General features: G+C 40.7%; 1 protein-coding gene across 1 annotated transcript in view; it reads right to left on the bottom strand.

Moving 5' to 3' along the window:
* IGF2R (insulin like growth factor 2 receptor) overlaps positions 1-15,698 on the bottom strand; it is a 142,423-nt gene that overhangs the window by 83,347 nt on the left and 43,378 nt on the right. Inside the window, exons 5-6 of the mRNA NM_000876.4 lie at positions 3,454-3,586; positions 844-973 (exon numbers count right to left, since the gene is read on the bottom strand). Coding sequence (NP_000867.3) covers positions 844-973; positions 3,454-3,586 — 263 coding nt within the window. The remainder of the gene's footprint in view (positions 1-843; positions 974-3,453; positions 3,587-15,698) is intronic.

Below are 15,698 nucleotides of genomic sequence, written 5' to 3'. Positions count from 1 at the left end.
CAGACATGCAGCCTTTAGACTGTGTAGGAAATACATTTCTGTGGTTTAAGCTACCCAGCCTATCGTATTTTCTTATGGCAGCCTGAGCAAACTAATACAGACACACACATAGAAAATTCCAAACACTTTTCCCCTCAGGTTACGCTCAAGTTTTTTCTTTGGACAGAGTGCCATTATAATTGCACATGCTCCCTACAACCACCCAGACATGCCACGAGCTCCAGACTAGAGCAAGCACAACAAGGTGTCTACCAAAGGCCTCTGAATGGGGAGAAAATGTGAATCCTTGATCGAAGTTCAGGATATGGTCATGTGCAACACACTAGAGAAATGCGTATGTCTGCCAAGGCAAGATACAAAGGCAGTACAAGAGCATATGTACACGGCACAACACATTATAAGGAACACCATTCCCCACTGGGAACCAAGGTCCCTGTCACATCCCAGTGAAGGTCACCAGCAAACTGTCCCTCCTGTCTCTTGCCCTCCCAAGATGAGAACACAATGGACACAAAATCAATTTCACGGGTGCCACAGAATGAAAAATATCAGATGGCACCTTAAGATAGGCATTATTTCATGAGGCAAATACAGGTATGTACTATGGACTGGATCATGAGATGTATTTTTACTGCTGTAAGAGACAAATGATTAAAAAGTAGACAAGCACACTAGACTATGTGACTCACAGCAATGACCAACAATCTTACAAGTACATGTGAAGCAGCAATGCTGCAGGGACTATCCCAAGCCTTGCTGAAAAAGGATGTTCCTGCAGCTCCCTGAAAGTCAGGTCCTTGCTGGAGATTAAAAACGCCAACAGCATCGGAGGCCTTGACTGACCTGTCCTTGCGCACCAGCTTCAGTCCGTCCCGGGGCTGGCCAACATCAAACGCCTGGTGTCCTCTTACCAGGCAGGCGGCAGTGCCGGGGGGACAGGCCCGCAGCTGTGAACCTGGGTCTCGTAGTGTGTCTGAAAATCATGTATTACATTAAATCAGATTAGGTGTTAGGAGTGATAATCACACGTACCCTTAGACCCAGGGTCCCTTTAAATACATTATTGAATTCCTAAAAGTCTCCCTAAGTAACTATTCTGAAACCTTGGGCAAGCCATTAACCCTCTGCAAACAAAGCTCAGGATGAAGGACTGTAAAGTACTGGCTCTGCACTGGTATATAAGAGGTGCACAGGAAACAGGTTATGATGTTATTTGTAATCAAGAAATGTACCCATCCTCTGCTTGAGGTACAACAACATTAGCACTATCCCCTTTCAAGCTACAGAGACTAGAAAATGCAGGCACTCCACAGATGACTGGAACAATTAGGAGATTAGGGAAAGAACCCACAGCTCTGGGTTCAAATCCTAAATCGACCACTTACTATGTCGATAACGTTGGTCTAACTACAAAACTATCCAATTGCCAGTGTGCTACTGCACAGGTTTGGTGGAGGATTAAAGATGAAAACATACCCAGAATATGTCCAGAACATCCCGCAGGCTTTACAGATTGCCAGTATAGCAACAGCTATGATTACAGCTAGGTTGCTCTTTACCATTCATTTCTATGACCATGACTCAATACCTTACACAGTATACTTTGGGATTTATTTGTTTACTATCTATCTTTTCTCCTATCTAACTAAAGTTCCAGGAAAACAGGAACTGTGGTGAGTTCAGTGCTATAATCCAGTGCCTAGATTAGTGCCTAGCACACAGAAGGGATTCAAACAACCCTTCTCCCACGAATGAGTGAGTGAATAATCTTACCTCCCTTAAGTTTTACCTGCCTTATTAATCAAAGATGGAGAGGGTTATCTACCTTTGCACCAGCTAGTGAAGAGGTAAGCAAACCTTTAACTCTCAAGCCTTCCAAACAATTATGAAATTATGTGGAATTATGAAATTTCACAAATGGACTGCTTTGTTCCACCTATAGTATCTGCTGTGCCATAGGCTCCTTGCCCTCATGGGGACTCAGTGTAAGACAATCCACTTGGTATACCAAAGGCAGAATACACAGCAAGCGCCCTGAGGATGCAAGGAGGTAAGCACATGATGGCAAGTCCGAAACTATCCAAGAGGTTTTGAGGGTCACATTCAATCTTGGTTTGAGACTTAGGGCAATTTCCTGGGAATGGAGAATGTCTGAGTAAAAACTAGGGCACCCCTACTGTGAATCAAAGTCATTCAAGCTCTACTCAAATTGCCAATAAATTGGAAAGAAAAAACTTGTAAGAAAATACTCAGCAAATTCAGATGATCTGTAAAATGTTAAGAGACCAGAAACCTAAATGTTTTCCAAATCAAAATAGCGTATTATTCCAGAATTCAATAATCTACAACTCATCAACTCTATAACCAAACTTGAGTTACAGACCCATTTAAGACAAAGACTGTATTAGTCTTTTTCCAAAAAATCAATAAAGGTTATCCTTGGAGAACAAAAGAAAGATGTAATACTCTAACACACACAAAAAAACCTAGTTATCATTGGTTACTTTTGGTGAGCCCTGAATGGGGTATATTTACTGTTTTTAACTGTTTAGAAATAATACATAAACAAGATAGTACATAATGTATATATATAATTTAAAGAATAATCATAAATTAATACTCATCTACTATCCAGCAATACTTCCATGTATTGAGTTTATTTTTTAAAATTTTCTCCAAACTTTTCTAAGGGCAAAGCATTATGTACTATTTGAGAAATAAAAAACAAAGAAGAACACTAAAAATGACCTTTAGATTAGTTAATCACCAGCAGAATTTACTCATGGCTAGCACTGCAGAAAGACAGTCCTGGCCTACAGGACTAACAATTCATAGCCCTGAGGGGAACATCAAGCTGGGTTTTAGAAACTTGGCTTAGTAAAACCAGCTGAAGGCTAGTCAAAGGCTTAGTAAAACTTTTCATGGCCCTTTTTAGATAAAGACCATTTATTTACGGTCTTTAGTTAATTTATCAAAGATTCTAAAGCTTAAGCTAAAGCTTCTCACACCAGTTTTGGCAAGTACAGAGAAAGGAACAAGTCAGCTTGGGCCAAATATGCATCCCGACCAAGTACCCAAGTCCTTGATCATCCCTTTTTCTTTTTCACCCAGCCCGTAACTCAGAGCCAAGGGATTCAGGCACACACAGAGAACAAGACCGACCCTCACTTCTGTAGAATCCCGAAACCCAAGGTGTCTGGCCGAGAGAACACCCACATGGAATGGATCAACAGTTAGGATGGAATCTACAGGGGTTGGGGAGGAGGCATGGAATCTACTGGGGGAGAAGAGGTGGGTTGTGCAAATAGAACATTTTTGGGGACAAAAGCTTTATTAGAGGGCCTAATCAGAAACATGGATGTGAAAACAGAAATAAAGGTAGAAAGGCAAAGATATTGAAGCCATAGAAGAAATCCCTCACCACCACCCCCTCAGCCCCACAAAGATTCATACCTATGTCTCTACAAACATTGATGAATAGAGAAGTGTCCGGATCGGAGTCATCCACCAAGTAGGCACCACTAAGCTTGATCAGAGGATTGAGATCATGCTTCCTCAACTCTTCATCAAACACATAGCATGGCACCTGGAAGGGAGGAAGAAAAAAGTGAGTCTTCAGTATACATCTTGGTCAATCAGAAAAGCTTATGACCAATGTCACACAACACTGCTCTCCATTCCTTAGGGACTATCATGCTATGGTGTCCCCTAATAACGAACTCAGGCAAAGGTCAATAAACGTCTTGGCTCCTCTGCGTTCTTTTCGGTATCTCTTCTCTCTTACATGAGGACTGTTGTGCAATCATCTCCTCTCACTTTACATCACCAGGTTTTCCCTCTCCACTGGATCGTTTCCGTCAGCATGCCATGAGATCTACCACCTCACAAACGTCCTTCCTGGTCCCTACATTCCCCTAGCTATCATCTCATGTCTCTGCAACTTAGAGCAAAATTTCTTCAATTGTCCCTACACGTCTTCTCCTCTTCCTGCCTTCCATTCTCTCTTGAACACAGTCCCATCAGCTTGCTGCCTCCCACTCCAGCAAAACCCCGCTTACCAGCTCACCCACAACATCTCTGCTGACACATCCAGTGCTCGTGTCCTAGCCTTCCCGTTACATGGTCTCTTGTGGCACTGGATGCTACTGATCATTCTCCACCTCATGAAACCCCTTCTCCTGTGGCTTGCATCCACAGGCTCCTGGTTTTCTTCTGCCCCACTTCCAGCTCTTTTTCAGCCTCCTGGAAACACTTCTCACCTTCCCTCTAACTGACTCTCAATCCAGAGGTGTGCCACAGCTTACTGAGCAGCCCTCTTTCCTGTCTACACCCAATCCCTTGGTGACCTCGTGCATGGTTATAAATGTCTGCCAAAGACTCCCAAATTCATGTCTCTAGCCTTGACCTTTCCACAGAACTGCAGGCTTACACAGCCAACAATAGCAGAAGCTACGTTTATAAGCACAGACTCGAAGCAGAACACTTGGGGTTCAACCTCTGGCATGAACACTTTGCATGACCATGAATGAAGTTAACCTCCATGCCTCAGCTTCCCCACGTGCCATACTGGAATAATGACAGTTATTCCTTCATGGGGCTGCTGTAAGGCCTGAGTGAACTAATGTATGTGAAGCTTGGGGTACAGCTCCTGGCAGGTTGGCATAAGTGTTATTTATTGCTGTTGTTTATCATCATCACTTGGATACACAAAACCATCTCAAATTTCATGTATTTAAATTTAAAATGAGCCTTTGATTTCTCCCCCAAAACCTACTGTTACCCCAGTGTTCCTCATCTCAACAAATGGCACCATCATTCAACCAGTTGCTTGAGCCAAAACCTTAAGGTCCCCCTGCCCCACCGCCAAGTTCTCTCACGTCTACATCCAACCATCGGCAAGTCCTGCCAGCTCTCCCTTCAGACTAAACCCTGGATCCACTCCCTACTTATCACCTCCACCATCGCCACCCTGTCCAAGCCACCATAATCTCTTGCCTGCAATAGTATCTTAACTGGCCCCCCAATTCCAGCTTCAGTGCCCTACTACCTCAGCCCATGTCTCCACAAGCACAGGATTAGCACTTCAGAATTAAATCAGGCCACACCTCTCCCTGTTCAAAGCAGCTTCCCATTACACTGAGAAGGAAATTCCAACTCCTTCATGACACCGCCCTAACCTACCACTCTCCTCACTCAACGCAGCCACACTCACCTCTTGATGCAATTCTACCCTCCTGAAACTCAAAAGTCCTCTCTACCTGAGATGTGCTTACCCAAATATACACATGGCTCTTTCCCTCACTTCATTCAGGTCTCTGATGAAACATCGCCCTTAGTAAGGCCTCTTCTGACACCTTTACCTAAAACAGCACTCTCTACCTCTCTCTGTCTCCCATACTCAGCCTCACTTTTGTTCACAGCACTGTGATGTATGATACTAGGTACTGCCATCTGTTGACTTTTGTCATTTTCCCCCCACTATAATAGGGGCTCCTTGAGGTCAAGGGTTTGTCACTGCAGGCTAAAGATGATGCCTACAACATAGTGGGAGCTCAGTAAATATTTGTTCTATATTTGTTCCATAAACTGTGAAGATGAGTTCCTCCTGTGGGTATTTCAATCCATCCTTACTTGGTTTTAATTTATGACAGTCTCTCATACCTATGAACTAATGGTCTTTTTATTTTAAAAAACATCAAGAAACCCCACTGTTAGAGTTGGCAAGACCCTGAGCTTTAAGGGGGTGCCTCTTTGTTTGTTTTATTTAGATTTAGGAGGACCGAGTGCAGTTGTATTACATGGATATTGCACAGTGGTGAGGTCTGTGCTTTTAGTGTAACCAGCACTGGAATACTGTACATTGTACCCATTAGGAAATTTCTCATTTCTCAACCCTCACTGCCCTCCCACCCTCTCACCTTTCTGAAGCTCCAATATTTATTATTCCAGTCTCTATGTCCATGTGTATGTATTATTTAGTTCCCACTTATAAGTGAGAATATGTGGTGTCTGACTAAGTTATTTCACTCAAGATAATGGCCTCAAGTTCCACCAATATTACTCCAAAACATAGGATTTCATTCTGCCTTACGGCTGAGTGGTATTCCATGATAGACGTGTGTGTGTGTGTGTGTGTGTGTGTGTTCTTTACCTAGTCATCCGTTGGTGGGCACTTAACGTTTATTCCGTATCTTTGCTACTGTGAATAGTGCCACAATAAACAGACGAGTGCACGTATCTCTTTGACAGACAGATTTCTTTTACTTTGTGTAGATACCCAGTAGTGAGATTGCTGGGTCAAATGGTAGTTCTATTTTTAGTTCTTTGATTAATTTCCATACTATTTTCCATAAAGGTCATTCTAATTTACATTCCCACCAATGGTGTATAAGTGTTCTCTTTTTTTTCTGCAACTCTGCCAACATCTGTTGTTTTTTGACTTTTTAATAATTGCCATTTTTGACTGGTATAAGATGGTATCTCATTGTGGGGTTTTTTTTTATTACGTTCCATATATGCAGTTTATTTTTTTTTTCCTAAACTTTTTTTTTTAATTTTATTATTATTACACTTTAAGTTTTAGGGTACATGTGCACAACGTGCAGGTTTGTTACATATGTATACATGTGCCATGTTGGTGTGCTGAACCCATTAACTCGTCATTTAGCATTAGGTATATCTCCTAATGCTATCCCTCCCCCCGCCCCCCACCCCACAACAGTCCCAGGTGTGTGATGTTCCCCTTCCTGTGTCCATGTGTTCTCATTGTTCAATTCCCACCTATGAGTGAGAACATACGATGTTTGGTTTTTTATCCTTGCGACAGTTTGCTGAGAATGATGGTTTCCAGTTTCATTCATGTCCCTACAAAGGACATGAACTCATCATTTTTATGGCTGCATAGTATTCCATGTGGTTTTATAATAATTTGTATATTTCTCTGATGATTAGTGATGTGGAGTATGTTTAGGAGATTCTTGGCCATTTGTATGTCTTCTTTAGAGAAATGTTTGTTCACGTCCTTTGCTCACTTCTTAAAGGGATTGTGGTTTTTCTTGTTGAGTTGTCTGCATTCTTTGTAGATTCTGAATATCAATCCTTTGTTGAATGTAGAGTTTAAAAACACTTTTGGCCATTTTGTATGTTGTCTGTTCACTCTGCTGACTATGTATTTTGCTGTGCAGAAGTTTTTAAGTTTAATAAAGTCCCATTTCTCTATTTTTATTTTTGTTGCATTTGCTTTTGAAGTCTTAGTCATGAATTCTTTGCCTAGGCGAAGATCCGAGAGAGCTTTTCCTGGGTTTTCTTCTGGGAATTTTATAGTTTCAGGCAGGCCTTACATTCAAGTCGCTAATCCGACCTGAGTTAATTTTTATATGTGGTAAGAGATAGGGGTCCAGTTTCATTCTTCCGCATATGGCTGTCCAGTTTTCCCAGAACCATTTACTAAATAGGGTGTCCTTTCCCCAGTGTATGTTTTTGTCAACTGTGTCAAAGATCAGTTGGTTGTAAGTATGCAGCTTTGACTCTGGGTTTTCTATTCTGTTCCATTAATCTGTGTGTCTATTTTTCTATCAGTACTAGCTGTTTTGATTACTATAGCCCTCCAGTAAAATCTGTAGGTGGGTATTGTGATGCCTCTAGCTTTGTTCATTTTCCTTAAGATTGGTTTGGCTATTAAGATTTTTTGGGGGACCACATGAATTTTAGGACTTTTTCTAATTCCATAAAAAATGACGTTGGCATTTTGATAGGAATTGCATTGAATCTGTGGATTGTTTCGGGCAATATAATCATTTTAATGATATTGATTCTTCCAATTCATGAACATGGGATGTTTTCCCACTTCTGCTATCTACAATTTCTTTCATCAGTGTTTTACAGTTTTCCTTGTAGAGATTTTTCACCTCCTTGGCTAAATGTATTTCTAGTGGGTTTTTTTTTTTTAGTGATTATAAATGGGATTGACTTCTTGATTTGATTCTCAGCTTGATCATTACTGGTGTGTAGAAATGTTATTGATTCTTGTACAATGACTCTGTATCCTGAAACTACTGAATTCACGTATCAAATCTAAGAGACTTTTGGAGGAAACTTTAGAGTTTTCTAGGTATAAGATCATATCATCAGCACACAGAGACACGTTGACTGTCTCTTTTCTGATCTGGATGCGTTTTCTTTCTCTTGCCTGACTGCCCCAGGTAGGACTTCCAGTACTATGTTGAATAGGAGAGATGAAAAAGTGGGCATCATTGTCTTGTTCCACTTCTTAGGGGAAATGCTTTCAACTTTTCCCTGTTCAGTACGATGCTGGCTGTGGTTCTGTCGTATATGCCTTTTATTATTCTGAGGTATGTCCCTTCTAATATTTTTTGAGTGTTGTCTTTTCATTAAGGGATGTTGAATTTCATCAAATGCTTTTTCTGTATCTCCTGAGATGGTCAGACTTTTTTTTAAATTGTTTAAATGGTGAATCACATTTATTGATTTGCATACACTGAACCATCCTTGCAACCCTGGAATAAAACCCACTTGATCGTGATGTATTATTTTTCTGAAGTGCTGTTACATTCAGTTTGCTAGTATTTTGTTGAGATTTTTGAATCTGTTTATCATAGATATTGGCCTCTAGTTTTCTTTCTTTGTTGTGTGCTTGTTTGGCTTTGGTTATCAGGATAATATTGGCTTCAAATAATGAGTTAGGGAGGATTCCCTCCTCTGATTTTTGGTAACAGTTTCAGTAGGATTTGTGCTAGTTCTTCCCTGTGCCTCTGGGAGAATTCAGCTGTCAATCTGTCTGGTCCTGAGCTTTTTTTGTTGGGAGGTTTTTGTTTTGTTTTGTTTTGTTTGTTTTGTTTTTCTTAAATTACTGATTCAATCCCAATACTTGTTATTGGTCTTTTTGGAATTTCTATTTCTTCCTGGTTGAATCTCAGGAACTTGAATGTTTCCAGAAATGTACACATTTCCTCTAAATTTTCTCAGTTGTGAGTACACAGATGTTCACAGAAGTCTCTTATGATCTTTTTTGTGGTATCAGCTGTAATGTCTACTTTCTTATTTCTGATTGAATCCTCTCTCTTCTGGTTAATCTGACCAACAGTCTATGAATATTATCTTTCCAAAGAACCAACTTCTCATTTTTTTTATCCTTTGTACTGCATTTTTTGGTCTCCATTTCATTTAGTTCTGCTCTGGTATTTGTTACTTCTGTTCTGCTAGGTTTCAATTTGGTTTTTTCTTTTTTTTCTAGTTCCTTGAAGTGTGATATTAGGTTGTTAATTTGTGATCTCTATTTTTGATGTAGGCATTTAACACTATAAACTTCCCACTTAGCCCTGCTTTTGCTGTATCCCGCAGGTTTTATGCTGTGTATCCACTTTCATTTGTTTCAATTTTTTTTTAATTTCCATCTTAACTACATTGTTGACTCAAAATTCATTCAGAAGCAGGCTATTTAATTTCCAATTATTTGTATAGTTATGAGAGTTTCTCTGTGAATTGATTTCTAGTTTCATTCCACTGTGGTCTGAGAAGATACTTGGTATCATTTTGGTTTTTTTCAATTTATTGAGACTTGTTTTTTGGTATGACATATAGTCCATCTCGAAAAACGTTCCATGCACTGATGAGAAGAATATATGTTCTGCGGCTGTGGGGAGAATGTTCTATAAATATCTGTTAGGTCTACGTGGTCCTGAATCCAATTTATGTGCCGTGTTTGTTGATTTTCTTTCTCAGTGATTGAATTCTATTATTGCATTGCTGTCCATTTCTTTTCTGAAGTCTACCAGCAGTTGTTTTATGAATCTTGTGCTCTAGAGTTGCATGCATACATATTTAAGATTGTTACATCTTGTTGAATAATCTTTTTATCATATAATGACCATCTTTTTCCTTTTTTTTTACTGTTGTTGATTTAAAGTCAGTTTTATCTAAGTATAGGTGGGTCTTCCTGCTTGCTTTTGATTTCCATTTGCCTGGAATATCTTTTTCCATCCCTTTAGCTTCAGTGTATGTCTTTACCAATTAGTTCTGGCTTTCTTGTAAGCAGCATATGGGTGGATTCTGTCTTTTATTTTTTAAATCCATTCTCCCAATCTGTATCTTTTATGTGGAGCATTTAATCCATGCACATTCAAAGTTAATATTAATATGTGAGGTTTTATTCCTGTCATAATGCTAACTGTTTCCTAGTTGCTTTGTGGTCTTGTTTGAATAATTGTTTTATAAGAGTGTTTATACTTTTGTGTGTTTTTATGATAGCAAGTATCAAACTTTTGTTTCCCTGTATAGACCTCCTTTGGGCATTAATTGTATGGTCCATCTAGTACTGACAAATTCCCTCAGCATTTGCATGTCTGAGAAAGACTTTATTTTTCCTTCATACATGAAACTTATTCTGGCAGGATACAAAATTCAGGGTTGACAGATTTTTTTTCCTTAAGCACCTTGAAAAGAGAAACCCAATCTCTCTGGCTCTTAAGTTTCTCCTGAGAAGTCCCCTATTAGTTTGATGGGATTTTCTTTATAGGTGATTAGATACTTTTCTCGTGGATAGGATTTTTTCCTTCATGTTGACCTCATACAGTCTCATGGCTATATGTTGTGGTGAAGTCCTCCTTGCAACATATTTCCTTAGAATTTTTTGAGCTTCCTATATTTGGAGGTCTAGATCTCCTGCTAAACTAAAGAAGTTTACATCAATTATGTCCTCAAATACATTTTCCAGATTTTGTTTGTTCTTCTCCCTTAGTAATATCTATGCTTTATAGGTTTGGATGTTTCATGTAGTCCCACGTTTCTCAAACACTTCGTTCATTTCCTTTGAATCTTTGTTTTTGCCTGATTGGATTAATCCAAAAGACCTGTCTTCAAGTTCTGAGATTCTTCCTTCTGCTTCGTCTAGTCTATGGTTGAAACTTTCAACTCAATTTTATAATTCCTATAATAAATTTTTCATTTCTAGAAATTCTACTTGATTTTTTTAAAACATCTCTTTGGTAAATTTCTCATTTATATCCTGGATTGATATTCTGATCTCTTTGTATTGGTTTTCAACTTTCTCATGTATCTCATTAAGCTTCTTTAAAATTAATATTTTGAATTCTTTAACTAGTATTTCAAGCATTTCACTTTGGTTAGGATCTGTTTCTGGAAGATTAATATGATCCTTCAGGGTGCTATAACACCCTGCTTTTTCATATTTCCAGAATTGTTACCCTGCTTCCTTCTCATCTAGAGAAACTGTCACTTTTTGGTTTGAATTTACTTTTGCTTTGACTAGAGGGTTCCCCCCGCCCTGAGAATGTGACTATAATGTATGTTGCATAGTTTTATTTGGCTTTGCTTCTGGACGCTTTCAGCGTCAAAGACTGTATGAATTCCTTGGTTATAGATAGGCTTTGTGTGGTGACTTTCTCAAACATCAGTTGTAGTAGTAATATACCAGGCTGGTGAGCAGGCTCAGGGCCTTCTGAGTAGCCAGGGTGTGGTGAGGGATGATGGTAACTGAGGTCATGGAAAGCTTGTCTCCTGCCGTAGCACTGTGCAATTGTGCACTTGTCTCAGCAGATGGGCTACGCAAGTTCATCTCCTGGCCAGGAAGTGGTACTTGCAGGAAAGAGGCAGCTGCAGTGGTGGCAACAGGATTTATGCTTGGCTTTTGTTAACGAGGAGGCTACTCCCATGTCCCAGACAATGGGTGGGGCCATGGGACACCTAAGCATCACTGTCTTGTGTTCTGCCAGCAAGGCAGATTGAGGAAGGAAAGCTGGGTGGAGCTGGGTCAGGCAAGCACATATTCAGGCTCTCCAACAGCTGAGACAAGCACTGGCCCCAACGGTGATCAGCGGGCCTCCAGGGCAACATTCTGGGGAGGGACAGAGGCGCCTCTACCACATCAAAGAGCCCACATGGTAAAAAGAGGTGCAGCCTGAGCTCCACAGCATAGCAGGCAATAGCAGGACCCACCAAGTTCTAATGCCCTTAACTCAGTGAGTCTCCCACCTGTGGCCCATCGCTGGCAGCAGGCCAAAAAAGCCAGCCCAGTCCCAAGCAGTCTGTATTAGGTTGTTTTTGCACTGCTATAAATACCTGAGACTGGGTAATTTATAAAGAAAAGAAGTTTAACTGGCTCACAGTTCTGCAGGTTGTACAGGAAGCATAGCTCGGCTTCTGGGGAGGCCTCAAAAAGCTTTCACTCACGGCAGAAGGTGAAGTGGGAGCAAGCATATCTCACAGCAAAAGCAGGAGCAAGACGGTGAGAGTGAAACAACCAGAAACTTTGAAACAACCAGATCTCATGAGAATTCACTCACTGTCATGAGGACAGCACCAAGGGGATGGTGCTAGACCATTCATGAGGGACCCCCATGATTTAATCACCTTCCACCAGGCCCCACCTCCAGCATTAGGGATTCAAATTCAATGTGAGATTTGGGGAGGGACAAAATCCAAACTATATCAGGGTCTGTGCTCAGATGGTGAAACTGCCCCAGGCTGCAAGACTCCCTGCCCAGGACAGAAACCATGGCTCTGAGGCCACATCTTTGCAGTACAGTTTCATGAAGTAGGGGCACCCGCATCTTTGCGGTACAGTTTCATGAAGTAGGAGCACCCACATCTTTGCGGTACAGTTTCATGAAGTAGGGGCACCCACATCTTTGCGGTACAGTTTCATGAAGTAGGGGCACCCAACTTCCGCATCACAGCAAGAACTCAAGCCCAGAAAGGAATCCCCCCCAGAGTAAAAAAGGCCCTGGTCACCAAGTGAACCATGACTATGTGAAACATTCCTGTAAGTTTTATTTCCAAAATAATACACTGGCATCATTTTAATTACCTCTTCCAAAGAATATTCTAAAACTTCATGTTCTCTGAAATCATTTCAAAGTAGATAGTTTTATTATTTTCTGTGGATAAGTTTCCCAAAATTTTATCTTTTAGACTGAAGCAATTCACAGACAGGTCTATTTACAAAAGTTAACTGCTTAATATTTAGCTTTCAAATTTCTCTTAGAAATAGGCTATCAAATCTGCAGGAATGCTCTAACCCACTAACCTTTTTCCCCAGTCCTGCTGTCAGAGATTCATGGAGAGCTAATAGAGTGAATCAAACGACCTACACCTACTCACAGCCTCAAAGGCACTTGAACTCATTTTGACCATATCCTCAAAGCAAAGTTGCCTGTCGCCTAAAATACTTCTCAGACACCTAAGTGTTTCTACTAATAATGGAGGAAGTTAGAACCTCTAGTGCTCAGAGGGTACCAGCACATGGAGCTTAAGCCTACCACCAGATTCATGCAGAAAGGCAACTAAAAGAAAATTATTGCCACAGACTATAATTGGGTTACAGTAAAAAGCCACAAGTGCCCATTATCCTGCAAATCTAAAGCTTGTCATCCCACAGCAAGATCATATGAAAACATTAACCCAAGAGGGGAGTGAGTCAGTGGACTGGGTAGGATGCAAGACAAGATGCAATTCTCTAACCAGCAAAATAAAAGCCTATGATGGAAAAGGGAGCAAGATGGCATATGGCAAGAAGGGAAAATGAAAGAACTCTTCATTCTGAAAACAGCTGCATTTCACCAAGACACTTAGAGGATTCCACATAGGCAAGATCTGCAAGCACCCTGCTCGGGGCAGGTAGCAACTACTGGCTGTCTCCCTACTCCAGGAGGGAAGAGAAGACATGCCTCACACAGCACTCCACAGAACTGGAGTGTGCATTGGTAAACAGTCAAGGCTACTGGGGAACACCCTCCCACTTCCTGCTACAGCAAACACAGCAATGGAGACATTCATAAGACCACGAATTTAGCAGCCTGGGGAGCGAGGTTGTTTGCCAGCTGCAACACACCACGCATTGAGTTAATGCTGTTTTATATATAATAATCTTACTTTTATAACCCTGGTAAGACTGCTAGCAGGCCAGTTCTGAATTTTGCCTGTTCCCAAGGGCACTACAGTAGGAGGTATATTTACACAATGCTTTAAAGAAATAATTACCTTAAAGCCTCTACCAGAATCCACTGAACAAAGTATAACAATAGTTTTAAAGGGCTGTTTGTAACTACCATGATTTTTGCCCATCAAAATCATTCTAAATGTGACAGAGCAAAATGAATAAATAAATGAGACATTAGTAAGATGTAGAAAGCAAGACTACAATGACACTAAACCAAATTGAGATTTTTTTTCTTTAGGGAATGATGAGGTTTTTATAAGTACATAAACCTTCAATATGTTTTAAACTTATCATACCAAGCCTGTAAGGTGTAATCAAATCAAACTGAAAGCAGAAAAAAGGGCATACGCTTTATTAAGATTTGCTAACAGTGACAGCACTACATTTTTAGCAGTCATTATGCTTTTCAGTTCTTTCCATTTAATCTATCCATAAGACAAAAAAAAATGAGTTAATGAATATGGATATGTCCTTCACACCATTAGTCTATAGGCTCCCTGAAAGCATTCCAAAATTTAACAAAATTCCTACTGCTTAGCTCACAATAGGCTCTCAATAAATGAAAACTCAATGAATAAAGCCCCAGCTGCCAATTACACCTGAAGAGGTAAGAGAGTACAAAGTACAAATGTTTCTCATGCATCTTCAATCTGCTTCTAAGAGAAATTAAATGTCATTGTTTTGAGAAAAACACAGACTATACCTCCCCATTCCCACCCCAAAAACTATTTAGAACACAGATCAGCACCTTTTTTTTTTTTTTTTTTTTTTTACAAAGAACCATGTGGTATCTACATTTTGGGTTTTGCAGGTCACATAGGTCTCTGTGGCATATTCCTCTTTGTTTTGTAACAATCCTGTAAAAATGTGAAAACCATTCTTAGTCCTGGGGTTGTACAAAAACAGGCCAGGGCAGGCTTTGAACCATGGGCTGTAGTTGGTGATTTCTGACCCATTGAAAACAAGTTGCTATTCATTTTATTTTGGAAAGCAATTTTTTCCTAGGTGGTAGAAGACACAACTGTCAATTCAGCAACGTGACATAAGAGGTACACTCAGATAAAACAAAAACAAAACAAAACAAAAAGGGTATCATGATCAGGTTGGAAAATCAGAGCCCAGGAGAGTATCTGTGGGACTGAGAGGTCTGGGGTCTAACAGGAGAGCAGAGGGCACCACTGTCACCGCAGCCTCCACCTCCCACAGGAAGCAACTCAGATCCGGCCAACTGGACACTTGAGGATGACTGTGTGTGGGGCCAGGCGCAGGGGCTCACTCCTGTAATCCCAGCACTTTGGGAGGCCGAGGCAGGCGGATCACCTGAGGTCAGGAGTTCAAGGCCAGCCTGGCCAACATAGAGAAACCCCGTCTCTACAAAACAAACAAATAAACAAACAAACAAACAAAAAAAAAAAAAAATATATATATATATATATAAATTAGCCGGGCATGGTGGCTCATGCCTGTAATCCCAGGATGACTGTGTGTCCCCACTCAAATCTTGTGTCAAATTGTAATCCTCAACATTGGAGGCGGGGCCTGGGGAGGTGACTGGATCATGAGGGCAGATTCCATCACCCCCTTCTTGCTATTATCATGATAGTGAGTGAGTTCTTGTGAGATCTGGTCATTTCAAAGTGGGCGGCACCTCCCCCTCCCACTCTCTTCCTCAGGCTCTGGCCACGTGAGGTGCTCGATACTCTGTTGCCTTCTGCCATGACTG

The sequence above is a fragment of the Homo sapiens genome, chromosome 6 (assembly GCF_000001405.40).
Source record: "Homo sapiens chromosome 6, GRCh38.p14 Primary Assembly".
NCBI classification, from domain to species: Eukaryota; Metazoa; Chordata; class Mammalia; order Primates; family Hominidae; genus Homo; species Homo sapiens.
The sequence above is the reverse complement of the archived record's forward strand: the minus strand, read 5'-3'. Positions and strand labels throughout refer to the sequence as shown.